At 47.0% G+C, this 25,957-nt stretch overlaps 2 protein-coding genes and 2 pseudogenes across 4 annotated transcripts; all 4 read left to right on the plus strand.

The window, feature by feature from the left end:
- The first annotated feature begins 2,915 nt into the window (after positions 1–2,915).
- On the plus strand, positions 2,916–4,508 carry USP17L29 (ubiquitin specific peptidase 17 like family member 29). The gene has a single exon (NM_001242332.1). It carries the CDS (start codon positions 2,916–2,918, stop codon positions 4,506–4,508), a length of 1,593 nt encoding a protein of 530 aa, NP_001229261.1.
- A 3,151-nt stretch (positions 4,509–7,659) lies between these two features.
- USP17L9P (ubiquitin specific peptidase 17 like family member 9, pseudogene) lies at positions 7,660–9,252 on the plus strand (annotated as a pseudogene). Its single transcript, NR_046416.1, has one exon. The product of NR_046416.1 is annotated as a ubiquitin specific peptidase 17 like family member 9, pseudogene (transcript).
- Positions 9,253–12,406: 3,154 nt separating this feature from the next.
- USP17L30 (ubiquitin specific peptidase 17 like family member 30) lies at positions 12,407–13,999 on the plus strand. The gene has a single exon (NM_001256867.1). It carries the CDS (start codon positions 12,407–12,409, stop codon positions 13,997–13,999), a length of 1,593 nt encoding a protein of 530 aa, NP_001243796.1.
- Positions 14,000–17,151: 3,152 nt separating this feature from the next.
- Positions 17,152–18,348, plus strand: USP17L6P (ubiquitin specific peptidase 17 like family member 6, pseudogene; annotated as a pseudogene). Its single transcript, NR_027279.1, has one exon. The product of NR_027279.1 is annotated as a ubiquitin specific peptidase 17 like family member 6, pseudogene (transcript).
- The last annotated feature ends 7,609 nt before the right edge of the window (positions 18,349–25,957 follow it).

A 25,957-nucleotide genomic window follows, 5' to 3' on the forward strand; every position in this document is an offset into this window, starting at 1 on the left:
TGGGGTCGTGAGTCTTCCGAACCTCTGGAGGGACTGTCTGAGTGTTTGTGTTCATGATAGGTGACATTCAGTGTGTATTTCTGAATATGACCTACCGACGTGTAGGTTTGCGTGTGAGGTAATTGCAGGGGACTCGGTTTCGTATTTTCTCTTGGGGTGTGTTTCATTCGTCAGTTGTTGGTCGGCATGAGAAGGTGAAATGTGGCTCATGTGGGACATCCGTGGATCATTCTCGCCACCTTGAATAGTGGAAACTGGAATGCATTTGGAAGAGAAGAACGGTGCTCTTCTTTCTTCCCCGGGCTCGCCGTTTTTACACTGGTTCCTGAATGGACCTCAGGCGCCCTGGGACCTGTGCTCTTGCTGGAACCCACATAACGCCGGAAGCGGACAGACCGACTTGCCTGTTTCACGGTGCCCGCTTCCCATGAGTCGAAACGGAAAATTTTCCCACGGGCATGTAAGTCATCTGGAAGTAAGCTGTATTGATAATAAAGGAAAGCAAACACAGGAGTGTGTGTATTCAACTGAAATAAATTCAGAAAGCCCTGCAATCAATCTCACTGGGTGTGTTTAAAAATGGCATTTGGGGAATTTCTGGGTCATTTGTCCAGCTGCGAAAGCTGCATCTCTGAAGCACAGTCCCTGTCCCGCAGTGAGACTTATTGATCCGACGTGGTGTTTCCGTGGAAATGATTGTGGGAAATGGCCCCTTCCTTTTCTCTATTTGCTGATTAGACTTCATGGTCCCTTTCTCGTCAGGTACAGTGATCAAAGTTGACCAACCCCAGAGGAAAGCTGCCCAGGGCACAACTCAGGGCTCCGTAGAACCACAGAATCTTGGGCGCAACCCTGCTCAAGCACCCAAATGTGCATACGAACAGGGTCTCCGTGTGACGTGTGTGAAAACTACAGTGTGATGAGCATGACTGGCAGACAGCTTATCGATTGGGCTCCCCTCAAAATCGGTTATGAGCATTCAAGCACACCGATGCCCAGGTCCCGGCTGCAGGAATAAGACCCTCCAGGGTCTTGTGTGAAGCCTCGGCATCTGCATTGCTCATGCTTCTGGGGATCATTCTCCTGAAAATGGTGGCTCCTTTCTCCCTGTGGAGCATCTTTCTAAGCAGCGCTCTTTTCTTCCCCCAGGACACTTTACATCCGGCACAGGAAGCCTTCTGATGGAGCACACCTGGCCCATGAAAAGACAAGGGAAAGAAACGGGGCCAAAGGTCACAGTCCTCTCATCCCATCATCCTCCTTAAAATCATCCTAATTTCATGGGCCCTGAAGCCAGGGCTGTTTCTTTACACCTAGAGGCCTTGGCGCCGGGCCTCAATTCCGCCCTGTTCCTTACCGTCTAAGACATGTTGGGAAAATCCCTAGAGCCAGGATCTTCATTCCTGCTAAGCCAGACAGCCGGAAGACACACCCAAATTCTGTCCCTCTTACTTCAGGGAACATGTCCACTTTCGGCAGCATTACAATTTTGGCACCAAATGTGCTAACTGCAATTCCACCATACAATGCGTAACTGGAAATGGAGGCAACATCTCCGATCCTGAACGATCGATGCGAGAATCCAGGATATGCACGGCTTATTTTGGCCTTTTCCCACTGAAACAAGGGCCAGTATTAAAAATGGCACGCTATCCTCTGTTTCACTCCCTGCTTTTAAACGTCTCCGATGTTTCTCCCTGAGACAGGGCCTCACTTCCGTCAGCCGGGCTTTTCTACGGTATAATTTTCCTTGTTTGCTTTTGTCCAAATTAGAACTTTTTATTTCATCTCTAGGAAACGTTGATCCATTATCACATACGTATGGAAATATTATCACACATGCTGTGAGATACGTTGTTTTTATTTTCATCAATTCCTTAATAAACAAAAGGTTATAGCTGGGATACCTTCTGAGTTCTCAAGTTTTTTGTTTCGTGTTTTCTTAAACTGCCGTCGCACGTCCGAAACCGCTCACTATGCGGTGTCATGACCGTCTCTCTTTTCTGGCAAACATAAATTTGGGGATTGTCATCAATTAGTCTCTCGGGGATTGCATGATTTCCCCAAAGGCTTTCACAGTCTACTTTGTGCACTGAGTATCTCTTCAAACTTCAGTGCATGTTTCTACCATTTGATGCTTTATTATTTGGCAATCTAGCTTCCACAAGAGCATTTCATGCAAAGACTTGTCTTGTTCTCCACTGGCAGGTAATTTCACTCGGACAGAGAATCAATAGGCTCAACGTGGAAAGGTTATCGCTGGAAGGTCTGTTTGATTCCACGGATCTCTCCTTTCTCACTAGGGAAGAAAATACGCTGTGCTAAATACTATACTTCATTGACTATTCTCAGGTCAGAAAGCGCACTTTCGACTTCTTGTCCTTCCTTCGCTGAGAGGATGATGGCAGCTGCCAAAAGTACCTACTTGGAGGTTCATCCCAGCACAAACACACACACACACACGCCCCCCCCCCACACACACAAACACACTCACACACACACACGCACACGGTTTCCTAGGTAAAGATTTCTTCCCTGCCATTGCTTTACCTAAAATAAGGCAACTGTGAGGCCACTGTCCCAACCCGGATACACTCCTATTATATGTGCCTATCATCCTGAGGAGTAATTTGATTCAGGTGTTCTGGAAGTCATGCTGTGGGCTGTGTCTGTTGAATTCCCAGCGATGCCAGGGGACACACCCTGTGACTCCTTCCTGAATTGAGTGCTGATATTTGATTGGCTTATCGCGCACCTGATGAGTGGGTGGGGTGTTCGCGGTTGGTGGGGGTGACTTACAGAAGGGCTGATGCGGCCAGAGAGCTCGTCATTTGAAGACTCTCTCGGAAGGGATAGCGTCTTTCTGCAACCTGCGGTTCCAGCAGACAAACCTTGTGATCCTCGTTCCAGTCGACATGGAGGACGACTCACTCTACTTGAGAGGTGAGTGGCAGTTCAACCACTTTTCAAAACTCACATCTTCTCGGCCCGATGCAGCTTTTGCTGAAATCCAGCGGACTTCTCTCCCTGAGAAGTCACCACTCTCATGTGAGACCCGTGTCGACCTCTGTGATGATTTGGCTCCTGTGGCAAGACAGCTTGCTCCCAGGGAGAAGCTTCCTCTGAGTAGCAGGAGACCTGCTGCGGTGGGGGCTGGGCTCCAGAATATGGGAAATACCTGCTACGTGAACGCTTCCTTGCAGTGCCTGACATACACACCGCCCCTTGCCAACTACATGCTGTCCCGGGAGCACTCTCAAACGTGTCATCGTCACAAGGGCTGCATGCTCTGTACTATGCAAGCTCACATCACACGGGCCCTCCACAATCCTGGCCACGTCATCCAGCCCTCACAGGCATTGGCTGCTGGCTTCCATAGAGGCAAGCAGGAAGATGCCCATGAATTTCTCATGTTCACTGTGGATGCCATGAAAAAGGCATGCCTTCCCGGGCACAAGCAGGTAGATCATCACTCTAAGGACACCACCCTCATCCACCAAATATTTGGAGGCTACTGGAGATCTCAAATCAAGTGTCTCCACTGCCACGGCATTTCAGACACTTTTGACCCTTACCTGGACATCGCCCTGGATATCCAGGCAGCTCAGAGTGTCCAGCAAGCTTTGGAACAGTTGGTGAAGCCCGAAGAACTCAATGGAGAGAATGCCTATCATTGTGGTGTTTGTCTCCAGAGGGCGCCGGCCTCCAAGACGTTAACTTTACACACCTCTGCCAAGGTCCTCATCCTTGTATTGAAGAGATTCTCCGATGTCACAGGCAACAAGATTGCCAAGAATGTGCAATATCCTGAGTGCCTTGACATGCAGCCATACATGTCTCAGCCGAACACAGGACCTCTCGTCTATGTCCTCTATGCTGTGCTGGTCCACGCTGGGTGGAGTTGTCACAACGGACATTACTTCTCTTATGTCAAAGCTCAAGAAGGCCAGTGGTATAAAATGGATGATGCCGAGGTCACCGCCTCTAGCATCACTTCTGTCCTGAGTCAACAGGCCTACGTCCTCTTTTACATCCAGAAGAGTGAATGGGAAAGACACAGTGAGAGTGTGTCAAGAGGCAGGGAACCAAGAGCCCTTGGCGCAGAAGACACCGACAGGCGAGCAACGCAAGGAGAGCTCAAGAGAGACCACCCCTGCCTCCAGGCCCCCGAGTTGGACGAGCACTTGGTGGAAAGAGCCACTCAGGAAAGCACCTTAGACCACTGGAAATTCCTTCAAGAGCAAAACAAAACGAAGCCTGAGTTCAACGTCAGAAAAGTCGAAGGTACCCTGCCTCCCGACGTACTTGTGATTCATCAATCAAAATACAAGTGTGGGATGAAGAACCATCATCCTGAACAGCAAAGCTCCCTGCTAAACCTCTCTTCGTCGACCCCGACACATCAGGAGTCCATGAACACTGGCACACTCGCTTCCCTGCGAGGGAGGGCCAGGAGATCCAAAGGGAAGAACAAACACAGCAAGAGGGCTCTGCTTGTGTGCCAGTGATCTCAGTGGAAGTACCGACCCACACGTAGGGGTGCACACACACACGCACACACACAGACACACACATAACTACACCCAGAAGCGCGCACGCAAACACACACACACCCACACAAACACGAACACCGTCAATCCTACATAAACTAATGAGGAGCCCAACTTTCTGTCTCTACAACAGGGACAACTGGATAGTGATGGCTACATCTCAGGATGAGCCCGCATATGGGAAACATCAAGTTTTGGGGTCGTGAGTCTTCCGAACCTCTGGAGGGACTGTCTGAGTGTTTGTGTTCATGATAGGTGACATTCAGTGTGTATTTCTGAATATGACCTACCGACGTGTAGGTTTGCGTGTGAGGTAATTGCAGGGGACTCGGTTTCGTATTTTCTCTTGGGGTGTGTTTCATTCGTCAGTTGTTGGTCGGCATGAGAAGGTGAAATGTGGCTCATGTGGGACATCCGTGGATCATTCTCGCCACCTTGAATAGTGGAAACTGGAATGCATTTGGAAGAGAAGAACGGTGCTCTTCTTTCTTCCCCGGGCTCGCCGTTTTTACACTGGTTCCTGAATGGACCTCAGGCGCCCTGGGACTTGTGCTCTTGCTGGAACCCACATAACGCCGGAAGCGGACAGACCGACTTGCCTGTTTCACGGTGCCCGCTTCCCATGAGTCGAAACGGAAAATTTTCCCACGGGCATGTAAGTCATCTGGAAGTAAGCTGTATTGATAATAAAGGAAAGCAAACACAGGAGTGTGTGTATTCAACTGAAATAAATTCAGAAAGCCCTGAAATCAATCTCACTGGGTGTGTTTAAAAATGGCATTTGGGGAATTTCTGGGTCATTTGTCCAGCTGCGAAAGCTGCATCTCTGAAGCACAGTCCCTGTCCCGCAGTGAGACTTATTGATCCGACGTGGTGTTTCCGTGGAAATGATTGTGGGAAATGGCCCCTTCCTTTTCTCTATTTGCTGATTAGACTTCATGGTCCCTTTCTCGTCAGGTACAGTGATCAAAGTTGACCAACCCCAGAGGAAAGCTGCCCAGGGCACAACTCAGGGCTCCGTAGAACCACAGAATCTTGGGCGCAACCCTGCTCAAGCACCCAAATGTGCATACGAACAGGGTCTCCGTGTGACGTGTGTGAAAACTACAGTGTGATGAGCATGACTGGCAGACAGCTTATCGATTGGGCTCCCCTCAAAATCGGTTATGAGCATTCAAGCACACCGATGCCCAGGTCCCGGCTGCAGGAATAAGACCCTCCAGGGTCTTGTGTGAAGCCTCGGCATCTGCATTGCTCATGCTTCTGGGGATCATTCTCCTGAAAATGGTGGCTCCTTTCTCCCTGTGGAGCATCTTTCTAAGCAGCGCTCTTTTCTTCCCCCAGGACACTTTACATCCGGCACAGGAAGCCTTCTGATGGAGCACACCTGGCCCATGAAAAGACAAGGGAAAGAAACGGGGCCAAAGGTCACAGTCCTCTCATCCCATCATCCTCCTTAAAATCATCCTAATTTCATGGGCCCTGAAGCCAGGGCTGTTTCTTTACACCTAGAGGCCTTGGCGCCGGGCCTCAATTCCGCCCTGTTCCTTACCGTCTAAGACATGTTGGGAAAATCCCTAGAGCCAGGATCTTCATTCCTGCTAAGCCAGACAGCCGGAAGACACACCCAAATTCTGTCCCTCTTACTTCAGGGAACATGTCCACTTTCGGCAGCGTTACAATTTTGGCACCAAATGTGCTAACTGCAATTCCACCATACAATGCGTAACTGGAAATGGAGGCAACATCTCCGATCCTGAACGATCGATGCGAGAATCCAGGATATGCACGGCTTATTTTGGCCTTTTCCCACTGAAACAAGGGCCAGTATTAAAAATGGCACGCTATCCTCTGTTTCACTCCCTGCTTTTAAACGTCTCCGATGTTTCTCCCTGAGACAGGGCCTCACTTCCGTCAGCCGGGCTTTTCTACGGTATAATTTTCCTTGTTTGCTTTTGTCCAAATTAGAACTTTTTATTTCATCTCTAGGAAACGTTGATCCATTATCACATACGTATGGAAATATTATCACACATGCTGTGAGATACGTTGTTTTTATTTTCATCAATTCCTTAATAAACAAAAGGTTATAGCTGGGATACCTTCTGAGTTCTCAAGTTTTTTGTTTCGTGTTTTCTTAAACTGCCGTCGCACGTCCGAAACCGCTCACTATGCGGTGTCATGACCGTCTCTCTTTTCTGGCAAACATAAATTTGGGGATTGTCATCAATTAGTCTCTCGGGGATTGCATGATTTCCCCAAAGGCTTTCACAGTCTACTTTGTGCACTGAGTATCTCTTCAAACTTCAGTGCATGTTTCTACCATTTGATGCTTTATTATTTGGCAATCTAGCTTCCACAAGAGCATTTCATGCAAAGACTTGTCTTGTTCTCCACTGGCAGGTAATTTCACTCGGACAGAGAATCAATAGGCTCAACGTGGAAAGGTTATCGCTGGAAGGTCTGTTTGATTCCACGGATCTCTCCTTTCTCACTAGGGAAGAAAATACGCTGTGCTAAATACTATACTTCATTGACTATTCTCAGGTCAGAAAGCGCACTTTCGACTTCTTGTCCTTCCTTCGCTGAGAGGATGATGGCAGCTGCCAAAAGTACCTACTTGGAGGTTCATCCCAGCACAAACACACACACACACACGCCCCCCCCCCACACACACAAACACACTCACACACACACACGCACACGGTTTCCTAGGTAAAGATTTCTTCCCTGCCATTGCTTTACCTAAAATAAGGCAACTGTGAGGCCACTGTCCCAACCCGGATACACTCCTATTATATGTGCCTATCATCCTGAGGAGTAATTTGATTCAGGTGTTCTGGAAGTCATGCTGTGGGCTGTGTCTGTTGAATTCCCAGCGATGCCAGGGGACACACCCTGTGACTCCTTCCTGAATTGAGTGCTGATATTTGATTGGCTTATCGCGCACCTGATGAGTGGGTGGGGTGTTCGCGGTTGGTGGGGGTGACTTACAGAAGGGCTGATGCGGCCAGAGAGCTCGTCATTTGAAGACTCTCTCGGAAGGGATAGCGTCTTTCTGCAACCTGCGGTCCCAGCAGACAAACCTTGTGATCCTCGTTCCAGTCGACATGGAGGACGACTCACTCTACTTGAGAGGTGAGTGGCAGTTCAACCACTTTTCAAAACTCACATCTTCTCGGCCCGATGCAGCTTTTGCTGAAATCCAGCGGACTTCTCTCCCTGAGAAGTCACCACTCTCATGTGAGACCCGTGTCGACCTCTGTGATGATTTGGCTCCTGTGGCAAGACAGCTTGCTCCCAGGGAGAAGCTTCCTCTGAGTAGCAGGAGACCTGCTGCGGTGGGGGCTGGGCTCCAGAATATGGGAAATACCTGCTACGTGAACGCTTCCTTGCAGTGCCTGACATACACACCGCCCCTTGCCAACTACATGCTGTCCCGGGAGCACTCTCAAACGTGTCATCGTCACAAGGGCTGCATGCTCTGTACTATGCAAGCTCACATCACACGGGCCCTCCACAATCCTGGCCACGTCATCCAGCCCTCACAGGCATTGGCTGCTGGCTTCCATAGAGGCAAGCAGGAAGATGCCCATGAATTTCTCATGTTCACTGTGGATGCCATGAAAAAGGCATGCCTTCCCGGGCACAAGCAGGTAGATCATCACTCTAAGGACACCACCCTCATCCACCAAATATTTGGAGGCTACTGGAGATCTCAAATCAAGTGTCTCCACTGCCACGGCATTTCAGACACTTTTGACCCTTACCTGGACATCGCCCTGGATATCCAGGCAGCTCAGAGTGTCCAGCAAGCTTTGGAACAGTTGGTGAAGCCCGAAGAACTCAATGGAGAGAATGCCTATCATTGTGGTGTTTGTCTCCAGAGGGCGCCGGCCTCCAAGACGTTAACTTTACACACCTCTGCCAAGGTCCTCATCCTTGTATTGAAGAGATTCTCCGATGTCACAGGCAACAAGATTGCCAAGAATGTGCAATATCCTGAGTGCCTTGACATGCAGCCATACATGTCTCAGCAGAACACATGACTTCTTGTCTATGTCCTCTATGCTGTGCTGGTCCACGCTGGGTGGAGTTGTCACAACGGACATTACTTCTCTTATGTCAAAGCTCAAGAAGGCCAGTGGTATAAAATGGATGATGCCGAGGTCACCGCCTCTAGCATCACTTCTGTCCTGAGTCAACAGGCCTACGTCCTCTTTTACATCCAGAAGAGTGAATGGGAAAGACACAGTGAGAGTGTGTCAAGAGGCAGGGAACCAAGAGCCCTTGGCGCAGAAGACACAGACAGGCGAGCAACGCAAGGAGAGCTCAAGAGAGACCACCCCTGCCTCCAGGCCCCCGAGTTGGACGAGCACTTGGTGGAAAGAGCCACTCAGGAAAGCACCTTAGACCACTGGAAATTCCTTCAAGAGCAAAACAAAACGAAGCCTGAGTTCAACGTCAGAAAAGTCGAAGGTACCCTGCCTCCCGACGTACTTGTGATTCATCAATCAAAATACAAGTGTGGGATGAAGAACCATCATCCTGAACAGCAAAGCTCCCTGCTAAACCTCTCTTCGTCGACCCCGACACATCAGGAGTCCATGAACACTGGCACACTCGCTTCCCTGCGAGGGAGGGCCAGGAGATCCAAAGGGAAGAACAAACACAGCAAGAGGGCTCTGCTTGTGTGCCAGTGATCTCAGTGGAAGTACCGACCCACACGTAGGGGTGCACACACACACGCACACACACAGACACACACATAACTACACCCAGAAGCGCGCACGCAAACACACACACACCCACACAAACACGAACACCGTCAATCCTACATAAACTAATGAGGAGCCCAACTTTCTGTCTCTACAACAGGGACAACTGGATAGTGATGGCTACATCTCAGGATGAGCCCGCATATGGGAAACATCAAGTTTTGGGGTCGTGAGTCTTCCGAACCTCTGGAGGGACTGTCTGAGTGTTTGTGTTCATGATAGGTGACATTCAGTGTGTATTTCTGAATATGACCTACCGACGTGTAGGTTTGCGTGTGAGGTAATTGCAGGGGACTCGGTTTCGTATTTTCTCTTGGGGTGTGTTTCATTCGTCAGTTGTTGGTCGGCATGAGAAGGTGAAATGTGGCTCATGTGGGACATCCGTGGATCATTCTCGCCACCTTGAATAGTGGAAACTGGAATGCATTTGGAAGAGAAGAACGGTGCTCTTCTTTCTTCCCCGGGCTCGCCGTTTTTACACTGGTTCCTGAATGGACCTCAGGCGCCCTGGGACTTGTGCTCTTGCTGGAACCCACATAACGCCGGAAGCGGACAGACCGACTTGCCTGTTTCACGGTGCCCGCTTCCCATGAGTCGAAACGGAAAATTTTCCCACGGGCATGTAAGTCATCTGGAAGTAAGCTGTATTGATAATAAAGGAAAGCAAACACAGGAGTGTGTGTATTCAACTGAAATAAATTCAGAAAGCCCTGAAATCAATCTCACTGGGTGTGTTTAAAAATGGCATTTGGGGAATTTCTGGGTCATTTGTCCAGCTGCGAAAGCTGCATCTCTGAAGCACAGTCCCTGTCCCGCAGTGAGACTTATTGATCCGACGTGGTGTTTCCGTGGAAATGATTGTGGGAAATGGCCCCTTCCTTTTCTCTATTTGCTGATTAGACTTCATGGTCCCTTTCTCGTCAGGTACAGTGATCAAAGTTGACCAACCCCAGAGGAAAGCTGCCCAGGGCACAACTCAGGGCTCCGTAGAACCACAGAATCTTGGGCGCAACCCTGCTCAAGCACCCAAATGTGCATACGAACAGGGTCTCCGTGTGACGTGTGTGAAAACTACAGTGTGATGAGCATGACTGGCAGACAGCTTATCGATTGGGCTCCCCTCAAAATCGGTTATGAGCATTCAAGCACACCGATGCCCAGGTCCCGGCTGCAGGAATAAGACCCTCCAGGGTCTTGTGTGAAGCCTCGGCATCTGCATTGCTCATGCTTCTGGGGATCATTCTCCTGAAAATGGTGGCTCCTTTCTCCCTGTGGAGCATCTTTCTAAGCAGCGCTCTTTTCTTCCCCCAGGACACTTTACATCCGGCACAGGAAGCCTTCTGATGGAGCACACCTGGCCCATGAAAAGACAAGGGAAAGAAACGGGGCCAAAGGTCACAGTCCTCTCATCCCATCATCCTCCTTAAAATCATCCTAATTTCATGGGCCCTGAAGCCAGGGCTGTTTCTTTACACCTAGAGGCCTTGGCGCCGGGCCTCAATTCCGCCCTGTTCCTTACCGTCTAAGACATGTTGGGAAAATCCCTAGAGCCAGGATCTTCATTCCTGCTAAGCCAGACAGCCGGAAGACACACCCAAATTCTGTCCCTCTTACTTCAGGGAACATGTCCACTTTCGGCAGCGTTACAATTTTGGCACCAAATGTGCTAACTGCAATTCCACCATACAATGCGTAACTGGAAATGGAGGCAACATCTCCGATCCTGAACGATCGATGCGAGAATCCAGGATATGCACGGCTTATTTTGGCCTTTTCCCACTGAAACAAGGGCCAGTATTAAAAATGGCACGCTATCCTCTGTTTCACTCCCTGCTTTTAAACGTCTCCGATGTTTCTCCCTGAGACAGGGCCTCACTTCCGTCAGCCGGGCTTTTCTACGGTATAATTTTCCTTGTTTGCTTTTGTCCAAATTAGAACTTTTTATTTCATCTCTAGGAAACGTTGATCCATTATCACATACGTATGGAAATATTATCACACATGCTGTGAGATACGTTGTTTTTATTTTCATCAATTCCTTAATAAACAAAAGGTTATAGCTGGGATACCTTCTGAGTTCTCAAGTTTTTTGTTTCGTGTTTTCTTAAACTGCCGTCGCACGTCCGAAACCGCTCACTATGCGGTGTCATGACCGTCTCTCTTTTCTGGCAAACATAAATTTGGGGATTGTCATCAATTAGTCTCTCGGGGATTGCATGATTTCCCCAAAGGCTTTCACAGTCTACTTTGTGCACTGAGTATCTCTTCAAACTTCAGTGCATGTTTCTACCATTTGATGCTTTATTATTTGGCAATCTAGCTTCCACAAGAGCATTTCATGCAAAGACTTGTCTTGTTCTCCACTGGCAGGTAATTTCACTCGGACAGAGAATCAATAGGCTCAACGTGGAAAGGTTATCGCTGGAAGGTCTGTTTGATTCCACGGATCTCTCCTTTCTCACTAGGGAAGAAAATACGCTGTGCTAAATACTATACTTCATTGACTATTCTCAGGTCAGAAAGCGCACTTTCGACTTCTTGTCCTTCCTTCGCTGAGAGGATGATGGCAGCTGCCAAAAGTACCTACTTGGAGGTTCATCCCAGCACAAACACACACACACACACGCCCCCCCCCCCCCACACACAAACACACTCACACACACACACGCACACGGTTTCCTAGGTAAAGATTTCTTCCCTGCCATTGCTTTACCTAAAATAAGGCAACTGTGAGGCCACTGTCCCAACCCGGATACACTCCTATTATATGTGCCTATCATCCTGAGGAGTAATTTGATTCAGGTGTTCTGGAAGTCATGCTGTGGGCTGTGTCTGTTGAATTCCCAGCGATGCCAGGGGACACACCCTGTGACTCCTTCCTGAATTGAGTGCTGATATTTGATTGGCTTATCGCGCACCTGATGAGTGGGTGGGGTGTTCGCGGTTGGTGGGGGTGACTTACAGAAGGGCTGATGCGGCCAGAGAGCTCGTCATTTGAAGACTCTCTCGGAAGGGATAGCGTCTTTCTGCAACCTGCGGTCCCAGCAGACAAACCTTGTGATCCTCGTTCCAGTCGACATGGAGGACGACTCACTCTACTTGAGAGGTGAGTGGCAGTTCAACCACTTTTCAAAACTCACATCTTCTCGGCCCGATGCAGCTTTTGCTGAAATCCAGCGGACTTCTCTCCCTGAGAAGTCACCACTCTCATGTGAGACCCGTGTCGACCTCTGTGATGATTTGGCTCCTGTGGCAAGACAGCTTGCTCCCAGGGAGAAGCTTCCTCTGAGTAGCAGGAGACCTGCTGCGGTGGGGGCTGGGCTCCAGAATATGGGAAATACCTGCTACGTGAACGCTTCCTTGCAGTGCCTGACATACACACCGCCCCTTGCCAACTACATGCTGTCCCGGGAGCACTCTCAAACGTGTCATCGTCACAAGGGCTGCATGCTCTGTACTATGCAAGCTCACATCACACGGGCCCTCCACAATCCTGGCCACGTCATCCAGCCCTCACAGGCATTGGCTGCTGGCTTCCATAGAGGCAAGCAGGAAGATGCCCATGAATTTCTCATGTTCACTGTGGATGCCATGAAAAAGGCATGCCTTCCCGGGCACAAGCAGGTAGATCATCACTCTAAGGACACCACCCTCATCCACCAAATATTTGGAGGCTACTGGAGATCTCAAATCAAGTGTCTCCACTGCCACGGCATTTCAGACACTTTTGACCCTTACCTGGACATCGCCCTGGATATCCAGGCAGCTCAGAGTGTCCAGCAAGCTTTGGAACAGTTGGTGAAGCCCGAAGAACTCAATGGAGAGAATGCCTATCATTGTGGTGTTTGTCTCCAGAGGGCGCCGGCCTCCAAGACGTTAACTTTACACACCTCTGCCAAGGTCCTCATCCTTGTATTGAAGAGATTCTCCGATGTCACAGGCAACAAGATTGCCAAGAATGTGCAATATCCTGAGTGCCTTGACATGCAGCCATACATGTCTCAGCCGAACACAGGACCTCTCGTCTATGTCCTCTATGCTGTGCTGGTCCACGCTGGGTGGAGTTGTCACAACGGACATTACTTCTCTTATGTCAAAGCTCAAGAAGGCCAGTGGTATAAAATGGATGATGCCGAGGTCACCGCCTCTAGCATCACTTCTGTCCTGAGTCAACAGGCCTACGTCCTCTTTTACATCCAGAAGAGTGAATGGGAAAGACACAGTGAGAGTGTGTCAAGAGGCAGGGAACCAAGAGCCCTTGGCGCAGAAGACACCGACAGGCGAGCAACGCAAGGAGAGCTCAAGAGAGACCACCCCTGCCTCCAGGCCCCCGAGTTGGACGAGCACTTGGTGGAAAGAGCCACTCAGGAAAGCACCTTAGACCACTGGAAATTCCTTCAAGAGCAAAACAAAACGAAGCCTGAGTTCAACGTCAGAAAAGTCGAAGGTACCCTGCCTCCCGACGTACTTGTGATTCATCAATCAAAATACAAGTGTGGGATGAAGAACCATCATCCTGAACAGCAAAGCTCCCTGCTAAACCTCTCTTCGTCGACCCCGACACATCAGGAGTCCATGAACACTGGCACACTCGCTTCCCTGCGAGGGAGGGCCAGGAGATCCAAAGGGAAGAACAAACACAGCAAGAGGGCTCTGCTTGTGTGCCAGTGATCTCAGTGGAAGTACCGACCCACACGTAGGGGTGCACACACACACGCACACACACAGACACACACATAACTACACCCAGAAGCGCGCACGCAAACACACACACACCCACACAAACACGAACACCGTCAATCCTACATAAACTAATGAGGAGCCCAAGTTTCTGTCTCTACAACAGGGACAACTGGATAGTGATGGCTACATCTCAGGATGAGCCCGCATATGGGAAACATCAAGTTTTGGGGTCGTGAGTCTTCCGAACCTCTGGAGGGACTGTCTGAGTGTTTGTGTTCATGATAGGTGACATTCAGTGTGTATTTCTGAATATGACCTACCGACGTGTAGGTTTGCGTGTGAGGTAATTGCAGGGGACTCGGTTTCGTATTTTCTCTTGGGGTGTGTTTCATTCGTCAGTTGTTGGTCGGCATGAGAAGGTGAAATGTGGCTCATGTGGGACATCCGTGGATCATTCTCGCCACCTTGAATAGTGGAAACTGGAATGCATTTGGAAGAGAAGAACGGTGCTCTTCTTTCTTCCCCGGGCTCGCCGTTTTTACACTGGTTCCTGAATGGACCTCAGGCGCCCTGGGACTTGTGCTCTTGCTGGAACCCACATAACGCCGGAAGCGGACAGACCGACTTGCCTGTTTCACGGTGCCCGCTTCCCATGAGTCGAAACGGAAAATTTTCCCACGGGCATGTAAGTCATCTGGAAGTAAGCTGTATTGATAATAAAGGAAAGCAAACACAGGAGTGTGTGTATTCAACTGAAATAAATTCAGAAAGCCCTGAAATCAATCTCACTGGGTGTGTTTAAAAATGGCATTTGGGGAATTTCTGGGTCATTTGTCCAGCTGCGAAAGCTGCATCTCTGAAGCACAGTCCCTGTCCCGCAGTGAGACTTATTGATCCGACGTGGTGTTTCCGTGGAAATGATTGTGGGAAATGGCCCCTTCCTTTTCTCTATTTGCTGATTAGACTTCATGGTCCCTTTCTCGTCAGGTACAGTGATCAAAGTTGACCAACCCCAGAGGAAAGCTGCCCAGGGCACAACTCAGGGCTCCGTAGAACCACAGAATCTTGGGCGCAACCCTGCTCAAGCACCCAAATGTGCATACGAACAGGGTCTCCGTGTGACGTGTGTGAAAACTACAGTGTGATGAGCATGACTGGCAGACAGCTTATCGATTGGGCTCCCCTCAAAATCGGTTATGAGCATTCAAGCACACCGATGCCCAGGTCCCGGCTGCAGGAATAAGACCCTCCAGGGTCTTGTGTGAAGCCTCGGCATCTGCATTGCTCATGCTTCTGGGGATCATTCTCCTGAAAATGGTGGCTCCTTTCTCCCTGTGGAGCATCTTTCTAAGCAGCGCTCTTTTCTTCCCCCAGGACACTTTACATCCGGCACAGGAAGCCTTCTGATGGAGCACACCTGGCCCATGAAAAGACAAGGGAAAGAAACGGGGCCAAAGGTCACAGTCCTCTCATCCCATCATCCTCCTTAAAATCATCCTAATTTCATGGGCCCTGAAGCCAGGGCTGTTTCTTTACACCTAGAGGCCTTGGCGCCGGGCCTCAATTCCGCCCTGTTCCTTACCGTCTAAGACATGTTGGGAAAATCCCTAGAGCCAGGATCTTCATTCCTGCTAAGCCAGACAGCCGGAAGACACACCCAAATTCTGTCCCTCTTACTTCAGGGAACATGTCCACTTTCGGCAGCATTACAATTTTGGCACCAAATGTGCTAACTGCAATTCCACCATACAATGCGTAACTGGAAATGGAGGCAACATCTCCGATCCTGAACGATCGATGCGAGAATCCAGGATATGCACGGCTTATTTTGGCCTTTTCCCACTGAAACAAGGGCCAGTATTAAAAATGGCACGCTATCCTCTGTTTCACTCCCTGCTTTTAAACGTCTCCGATGTTTCTCCCTGAGACAGGGCCTCACTTCCGTCAGCCGGGCTTTTCTACGGTATAATTTTCCTTGTTTGCTTTTGTCCAAATTAGAACTTTTTATTTCATCTCTAGGAAACGTTGATCCATTATCACATACGTATGGAAATATTATCACACATGCTGTGAGATACGTTGTTTTTATTTTCATCAATTCCTTAATAAACAAAAGGTTATAGCTGGGATACCTTCTGAGTTCTCAAGTTTTTTGTTTCGTGTTTTCTTAAACTGCCGTCGCACGTCCGAAACCGCTCACTATGCGGTGTCATGACCGTCTCTCTTTTCTGGCAAACATAAATTTGGGGATTGTCATCAATTAGTCTCTCGGGGATTGCATGATTTCCCCAAAGGCTTTCACAGTCTACTTTGTGCACTGAGTATCTCTTCAAACTTCAGTGCATGTTTCTACCATTTGATGCTTTATTATTTGGCAATCTAGCTTCCACAAGAGCATTTCATGCAAAGACTTGTCTTGTTCTCCACTGGCAGGTAATTTCACTCGGACAGAGAATCAATAGGCTCAACGTGGAAAGGTTATCGCTGGAAGGTCTGTTTGATTCCACGGATCTCTCCTTTCTCACTAGGGAAGAAAATACGCTGTGCTAAATACTATACTTCATTGACTATTCTCAGGTCAGAAAGCGCACTTTCGACTTCTTGTCCTTCCTTCGCTGAGAGGATGATGGCAGCTGCCAAAAGTACCTACTTGGAGGTTCATCCCAGCACAAACACACACACACACACGCCCCCCCCCCACACACACAAACACACTCACACACACACACGCACACGGTTTCCTAGGTAAAGATTTCTTCCCTGCCATTGCTTTACCTAAAATAAGGCAACTGTGAGGCCACTGTCCCAACCCGGATACACTCCTATTATATGTGCCTATCATCCTGAGGAGTAATTTGATTCAGGTGTTCTGGAAGTCATGCTGTGGGCTGTGTCTGTTGAATTCCCAGCGATGCCAGGGGACACACCCTGTGACTCCTTCCTGAATTGAGTGCTGATATTTGATTGGCTTATCGCGCACCTGATGAGTGGGTGGGGTGTTCGCGGTTGGTGGGGGTGACTTACAGAAGGGCTGATGCGGCCAGAGAGCTCGTCATTTGAAGACTCTCTCGGAAGGGATAGCGTCTTTCTGCAACCTGCGGTCCCAGCAGACAAACCTTGTGATCCTCGTTCCAGTCGACATGGAGGACGACTCACTCTACTTGAGAGGTGAGTGGCAGTTCAACCACTTTTCAAAACTCACATCTTCTCGGCCCGATGCAGCTTTTGCTGAAATCCAGCGGACTTCTCTCCCTGAGAAGTCACCACTCTCATGTGAGACCCGTGTCGACCTCTGTGATGATTTGGCTCCTGTGGCAAGACAGCTTGCTCCCAGGGAGAAGCTTCCTCTGAGTAGCAGGAGACCTGCTGCGGTGGGGGCTGGGCTCCAGAATATGGGAAATACCTGCTACGTGAACGCTTCCTTGCAGTGCCTGACATACACACCGCCCCTTGCCAACTACATGCTGTCCCGGGAGCACTCTCAAACGTGTCATCGTCACAAGGGCTGCATGCTCTGTACTATGCAAGCTCACATCACACGGGCCCTCCACAATCCTGGCCACGTCATCCAGCCCTCACAGGCATTGGCTGCTGGCTTCCATAGAGGCAAGCAGGAAGATGCCCATGAATTTCTCATGTTCACTGTGGATGCCATGAAAAAGGCATGCCTTCCCGGGCACAAGCAGGTAGATCATCACTCTAAGGACACCACCCTCATCCACCAAATATTTGGAGGCTACTGGAGATCTCAAATCAAGTGTCTCCACTGCCACGGCATTTCAGACACTTTTGACCCTTACCTGGACATCGCCCTGGATATCCAGGCAGCTCAGAGTGTCCAGCAAGCTTTGGAACAGTTGGTGAAGCCCGAAGAACTCAATGGAGAGAATGCCTATCATTGTGGTGTTTGTCTCCAGAGGGCGCCGGCCTCCAAGACGTTAACTTTACACACCTCTGCCAAGGTCCTCATCCTTGTATTGAAGAGATTCTCCGATGTCACAGGCAACAAGATTGCCAAGAATGTGCAATATCCTGAGTGCCTTGACATGCAGCCATACATGTCTCAGCAGAACACAGGACCTCTTGTCTATGTCCTCTATGCTGTGCTGGTCCACGCTGGGTGGAGTTGTCACAACGGACATTACTTCTCTTATGTCAAAGCTCAAGAAGGCCAGTGGTATAAAATGGATGATGCCGAGGTCACCGCCTCTAGCATCACTTCTGTCCTGAGTCAACAGGCCTACGTCCTCTTTTACATCCAGAAGAGTGAATGGGAAAGACACAGTGAGAGTGTGTCAAGAGGCAGGGAACCAAGAGCCCTTGGCTCTGAAGACTAATGAATTGTGTGTGAAACAAAATATCATGTCTAAATCTTGCAGCGGAGTATTTATTTTTCTCACTTTGTAGTCATTTAGTGAGCTTTAACGAATATCAGTGCCTAGTGCCTACCCCCCAAAGATAAGAACTTCCAGTCTCTTTTGTGTAACCCTGGTATCTGGGTTGCTCTTGATTCTTAAGATAATTCTCCTGACCCCAACGTTTCAGAATCACTTCAGGTAGTGGAAACAGTTAACCCATCAGTCCGTTTGTCTCTCTTTCTGTTCACTCAGGTAAACTCTCAGTGAGACCAAGGAAAATCCTATGGTTTACTAGGGACGAGGAGTTTTATCAGTAGTGATATTGGTGGCTTCTTCCTCCCTGTCAAATCTCTTCCTCAGGATTGCCCCTTTGTCTCTTCAGGACTCTGCTCATCAGGCCCAAGATGCCCCCTTGTTGCACATACCTGGCCTGTGAAGAAATAAGTGGAAGGAATGGTTCCAAAGACCATACTATGCTCAATCCACCATCGCCTCTGACATTATGATGACTTCATGAGCCCTGGGTTAGAAGTTATGTCTTTACACCTGTAGGCCTTGCCTCATGGCCTCACGACGTCCCCATTTCTTACATCTTATAAATTTTGACTGAACCGTCAGAGCCTAAATCTTCATTCCTTATAGGCCAAAGGGAGATTCACCAGAATTCTGTCCCTCTGAGACTGCAGGACATCTCAGCTTCCATCACATGAAATTTTACACCAAATATTGTTACTGCAGTTCCACCTCACAATGAGTAACTGGAAGTTCAGACAACATCTCAGACTCTATACAGTTTCTGGCCAAGTTCATTTGTTTTGACAATTCTTTTACTCTATAAAGCAGTTGTGAGAACACTTAGGATTCATATTATTTAGTCTTTTAATCAGTCTGTTATTGTTTTCAATGTATTTACTAGACTTTAGTATTTCTGATAAACTTTGATGCAAAATTTCTCGATATAATAGTGGCAAACCAAATCCAGCAACATATCAAAAAGCTTATCCTCCAAGATCAAGTCAGCTTCATCCCTTTGGTGCAAGGCTGGTTGAACATAAACAAATCAATAAATGTAATTCACCATGTAAACAGAACTAAAGACAAAAACCCCATGATTATCTCAGTAGACTCAGAAAAGATCTTTGATAAAATTCAACATTCCTTTAAGTTAAAAACCTCATGAAACTAGGTATTGATGGAACATATCTCAAAATAATAAGAGCCATTTATGAAAAACCCACAGCCAATATCATATTGAATAGGCAAAAGCTGGAAGCATTCCGTTTGAAATTCGGCACAAGGCAAGGATGCACTCTCTCACCACTCCTACTCAGTATAGTACTGGAAGTTCTGGCCAAGGCAATCAGGCAAGAGAAGGAAATAAAGCATATTCAAATAGTAAAAGAGGAAGTTGAACTGTCTTTGTTTGCAGATGACATGATCCTATATCTATAAAATCCCATCATCTCAGCCCAAAAGATTCTTAAGTTTATCAGCAACTCAGTAAAGTCTCAAGATAAAAAATCAGTGTGCAAAAATCAGAAGCATTCTTATACACCTACAACAGACAAGAAGAGAGCCAAATCACAAATGAGTTCCCATTTACAATTGCTGAAAAGAGTATAAAATACCTAGGAATACAGCTAACAAGGCAAGTGAAGGACCTCTTCAAGGAGAACTACAAACCACTACTCAAGGAAATAAGAGAGGGCACAAACAAAAGGAAAAACATTCCATGCTCATGTGTAAGAAGAATCAATATCATGAAAAAGCCATATTTCCCAAAGTAATTCATAGATTCAATGCTATTCCCATAAACTACCATAGACATTCTTTACAAAATTAGAAAAAACTACTTCAAAATTCATATGGAATGAAAAAAGAGCCCATATACCCAGGACAATCCTAAGGTAAAATAACAAAGTTAGAGGCATCATGCTACCTGACTTCAAAATATATTACAAGGCTACAGTTACCCAACAGCATGGTAGTGGTACAAAACAGACACATAGACCAACGGAATGGAAGAGATATATCAGAAATAAAACTGCACATCTACAACCATTTTATTTTTGATGAAAACAAGCAATGGGGAAAGGATTCCCTGTTTAATAATAAATGGTGCTTGAAAAACTGGCTAGACATATGCAGAAAACTGAATCTGTACCCCTTCCTTATACCTTTATACAGGAATGAACTGAAAATGGATTAAAGACTTAAATGTAAAACCCAAAGCTGTAAAAAATCCAACCCCATATAAAAGTGGGCAAAAGCTGGGTACAGTGGCTCATGCCTGTAATCCCTGCAGTTTGGGAGGGTGAAGTGGGCACATAACTTGAGGCCAGGAATTCAAGATCAGCCTGGCCAAGCTGGTGAAACCACGTCTCTACTGAAAATACAATAAATTAGCCTGATGTAGTGATGCGGGCCTGTAATCCCAACTAATCAAGAGCCTGAGAGAGAAGAATCGCCTGAATCTGGGAGGCAGAGGTTGCAGTGACCCGAGATTGTGCCACTGAACTCCACTCTGAGTGACAGAGCAAGGCTCTGTGTTAAAAAATTAAAATTTAAAAATTTCAAAAGTGGGCTAAGGACATGAACAGACACTTCTCAAAAGAAGACATTTATGCAGCCAACAAACATGAAATAAAAGCCCAACATTACTGATCATTAGAGAAATACAAATCAAAACCGCAGTGAGATACAATCTCATGCCAGTCAGAATAGTGATTATTAAAAAGTCAAAAAACAACAGATGCTGGTGAGACTGTGGGGAAATAGGAACATTTTTACACTGTTGGTGCGAATATAAGTTAGTTCAACCACTGTGGAAGACTGTGGTGATTTTTCAAAGACCTAGAATCAGAAATACCATTTGACCCAGCAATCCCATTACTGGGTTTATACCCAAAGGAATATAAATTCTTGTATTATAAAGATACATGCATGCATATGTTCATTGCAGCACTATTCACAATAGCAAAGACATAGAATCAACCCAAATGCCCATCAATGATAGACTGGATACAGAAACTGTGATACATATACACCATGGAATACTATGCAGCCATAAAAAGGAATGAGATTATGTCCTTTGCAGGGACATGGATGAAGCTGGAAGTCATTATTCTCAGCAAACTAATGCAGGAACAGAAAACCAAATACACATGTTCTCACTTATAAGTGGGAGATGAACAATGACAGAACATAGACACAGGGAGGGGAACAACACACACTGGAGTCTGTCTGGGGGTGAGTGGGGAGGGAGTGCATCAGGATAAATAGCTAATGCATGTGGGCTGAATATCTAGGCAATGGGTTGATAGGTACAGCAAACCACCATGGCACACATTTACTTATGTAACAAACCTGCATATCCTCACATGTATCCCAGAACTTAAAATGAAATAAAATAAAATTTTAAAAAACTTCATTTTTTCTAACCTTCCAAAATGCAGGGATTACAGGCGTGAGCCACCATGCCTGGCCCTGTTTTAACATATCTGAACAAGATTTAAAGACATCAGTTTGAAAAGAGCCCCTCTATGGCAGCAACATGAATTCTGTCAAACCTGAAGCAAGAACAAACATCAAATTTACGGTGAAGCTGGGGTACAAAAAATGGTGAAATAAATTATTCTTTAAGAAAAGTCTGTGGGAAAAATGACCTGAAGAATCAGTCATTTACAAATGGAAACCTTATTCTAAGAAGAGATAATACAATGTTGAAGATGAAGTCAACAGAAGAGGGACATCCATACCAATTTTTGAGAAAAAAAAAATCGTTTCTATGCCCTAATTGAGGAGGATTGACAATTAACAAGAGATATTATAGCCAACACCACAGACATCTCAATTGGTTCAGCTTACACAATACTGACTATAACGTGAAAGTTGAGAAACTTTACATTTGGTGAGTCCCAAATACCCTTGTGCTTAGATGAGCAGTGGACAAAAGCAGAGCTATTAGTGACTATTTTGAGTAAGCGGAATCAAGATCCTGCCGCATTATTTTGAAGAATTATAACAGGGAGTGAAACTGGCTTTATCAATAAGATCCTGAAGACAAAGCACAATTCAAGCAATGGCTACCAAGAGGTAGAAGTGGTCCAGTCAAAGCAAAAGCAAACTTCTCAAAAGCAAAAGCCATGGAGGTTTTGGGATGCTCAAGACATTTTGCTTGTTGACTTTCTGTAAGATTAAAGCACCATAACATCTGCTTACTAGGAGAGTTCTTAGAGAAAGTTAGCAAATACTTTTGCAGAAAAGCACCCTGTAAAGCTTCACTAGAGAGTCCCTCTGCACCACAACAACACTTCTGTTCCTTCCTCTCATCAAACATGGGTAATTTTGCAAGAGTTTTCATGGGAAATTATTAGGCATCAACATTACAGTCCTGATTTGGTTTCTTCTGACCTTTTTTTCCCTAATCTTAAAATAACTGTAAGGGGCACCCATTTTTCTTTAGTTAATAATAGAAGACTGCATTGACACGGTTAAATCCCCGTTACCCTCAGTTCTTTAGCAATGGACTGAATGGCTGGGATCATCCCTTAATGGAGTGTCTGGACCTCAGTAGAGCTTCTATTGAGAAATAAAGTCTATATTTATATTTTTGTTGTTAATTCCATTTTTCACTGACATTTTTAAGTCCCTTCACAATTCACATTTGTCTCAAAGGTATTTAAATTTAGAAATAATATCAAGTGTTAAAGAAAATTATATAGACAGAGGGAGAACAGAATCTATAAATATGCATGTTTGTGTACATACATCCATATACATACATATGTGTGTGCATGCAGTAATTTTATTCTCCTAAAGCAATGCCTCCGCCTTCCACCCTCACTGCACATGTCCTAGTCCTGTGATGTCCCTGGAACTGAGCACCTGATTTCCTTCTCTGCCTCCCACATGAACAGGGAATAGAAATGGAAACCACGCTCTGTGGTTGCTGTTGTGAAAATTCGTGTTCCCCACAGGCTGAGTTTGGCATCTTACATTCTACTTCCCATTGTAAAAAAGCAAGCAACAAACAAAAACTACAAAAGAAAAAATGAAATAGTTGAAAGTCTAGAGACACAGAGGTTCCGGATCCACCCAATGCCCACGGTGACCTCCACAGCCCTCCAGGCCTGAGGGCAGTTATGCCTGAACAGCCTGCCTCTTTACCATCCACGCACGAAAGTGACTTTAAACTTCAATAGCTACCACTCTGTTCCACAAGGAACCAGATCAACATTCAAAGTCAGTGGTCTGACAACTCTAAGCTTTGGCCAGAAAGTATTGGAAGCATTTAACTTGCAGTGGATGAAGCAGCCCGGCCCCACTGCACACAACACACTCACAGGGACTCAAAGGAAGAGACTCAGGATCCGCTGGGTGGAAGTGAGGACATACCCAGAAACACAGGGGGTAGGAGGGGGTCAAACCAGGAAGGCTCAGGACCTGACCTCCTCCTAGGCCCTGCCCCTCTAGAACTCGCAGTTTTTTCTGACCCAGAAGCAGATTTCACTGATGGAAAAGAAGTTCAGTATTTCTTGTCCAGCCCAGTAATCTGCTCCCGTTGCCCAGCCTTCCACACCCCTGCAGACGCCACAATCCCTGCACCCACTAACCTGACAAGGGAGCTATGCCTCACCTGGAGACAGTCCTAGGCCTGCACTCCTGTGATGGGGTCCAGGGTCTGTGTCCATTTCTGGTTAAAATTGCTGTAAGGCTGATCGCTGTCTTGGCCTCCACTCCTCACCCTATGTGAAGTTTTTACTCAGGAGATGGATTCTCACCCCTCTTGGAACATCAAGGACAGTGCCAGGACACCGTACCATCCCCTTGATCCTGGGATTCTGTAGACCTCAGTCTTCTCCTGAGGTCCCCTCCCTCCCTACCTCATTTTTTCCATACTTCTGGGGCCAGGGCCTGCTACACCTCAGGCTTCCTCTTCACAGTCACAGAGTGAGGGAGCCCCCTTCATCCTTGGGCTCTGGCCACAGCTCACCTGCTGCAGGACACTCAGCAGCTTTCAGTAGTTCATCCAGACATCCAGTTGGAAGTGGGATTTCCTGGAAGGAAAGCAGGAACCCAGAATTACACTGAATTCTAACACCAGGGCCCAGATTCCCCTTCTGCATGGGACACCAAGCTGCAAACACTACATAGGCACTTAATGCTCAGCTCTCCTTCTAACATCTGGTCCAGTTGTGTCCCTCCTCCTTGGAATATCTCAGAAAATGTATCTCCACCTAGAGTTGTTTGAAAGCATCATCCTATGTGATTCCAGACCATCAGGGGTTCAATGGGTCCTCACCAGTATTTCCACTCTGCTTGGAAGACTTAGAAAATCCTGAGGCTGCTCAGAGGGTCAGATTCCCATCTCTGTGTTTCAGTAAAACTTCAGTCTTCCCCAAACAAGTGAGGAGATAGAAAATGTCTAGTCTCTGGCACATCTTTTGCAAGCAATGGCGGCTCCCAGGAATCAAAACTATCAACGAATATATTTTTGAGACTCTGGTCAAAAGAAGAGTCATCCTGCAATTTCAGGTAGGATGGAGTGGTTCTGTGGCTTCTGAGGTGATTTTGAAAACATCTTGGCTCTCAGAAGGACCAAGGAGCACATTTCTGGCATTTCCAGACCTGGAAGAGTGACTGATGGACCTCCAGTGTTACTTGGAAAACTTTTTGTTGGACAGCTTTGTAATAAGAGGATCTTGTTTTGGCTTTCAGGCCTTCACATAGGTTGTTTAGATCATGGAAGTGTTTCTGCATTTCTGCATAGGCTCAGGATGCCTTCTCAAGTCGTCCCTGCAATTATGAGACAGTTGCTTTCTCCAGAGGTCACTTAGAATAATACAAGAGGCTTCACCCTCAAAGGGACACCAGACAATATAGCCACAGTCCAGCCAAGATTATCTGTATTTACATACCTGTAAAGTAACACTCCCAGTTATCTCCATTAACTTGGACTTCTCTCATGAATAGGGAAACTCTACTGATTGTTATATAACAGCTGCCACAAAAATTAACCAATAAAAAGAAATGATAAATGAAAAATAATTAATACTCATGATAATGAACGCAATGACCTAAATAGTACGAATTTTAATACTGGTGACAATATAAACATAAGGATACAAAAATTAATGTGGAGCTTCCCCTAAATATATGAAAACTTCACAAATTGGGTCCTCCTTGTGTAATTTGGAGTCAGAGTCAAAGAATTTCTCTATGAAATGTGTTCCATGATGGCAAACATCAAAAACAGGAGGTGAAAGAAAAGCAAGCCGCAGGAGACCATGGACTAAAATGAACATTTGTGTGCAAAACTCTCTCATCAAGAACTACCAGCCAGAGGTGAAGGGACTGTGATTTGTGTCCTGCCCACCACTGGGCACACAAAAGCTTTCAGTAGTGCAACCAGATGGCTGGTTTGGCCTGGCTCCCTGCAAGGAAGACATGTCTCTGATCCCCACCAGCCCATCAGTCCTGGAACTCAGAATCCTACATGCAGTAAACATGAAGCTCCAACTCCATAGCTGACTTTACCTCCTTACTGTCCTTCTGCCATCTGGTGTTGCAGGTGCTCTCCAGATCT

Source organism: Homo sapiens, chromosome 4 (assembly GCF_000001405.40).
Source record: "Homo sapiens chromosome 4, GRCh38.p14 Primary Assembly".
NCBI classification, from domain to species: domain Eukaryota; kingdom Metazoa; phylum Chordata; class Mammalia; order Primates; family Hominidae; genus Homo; species Homo sapiens.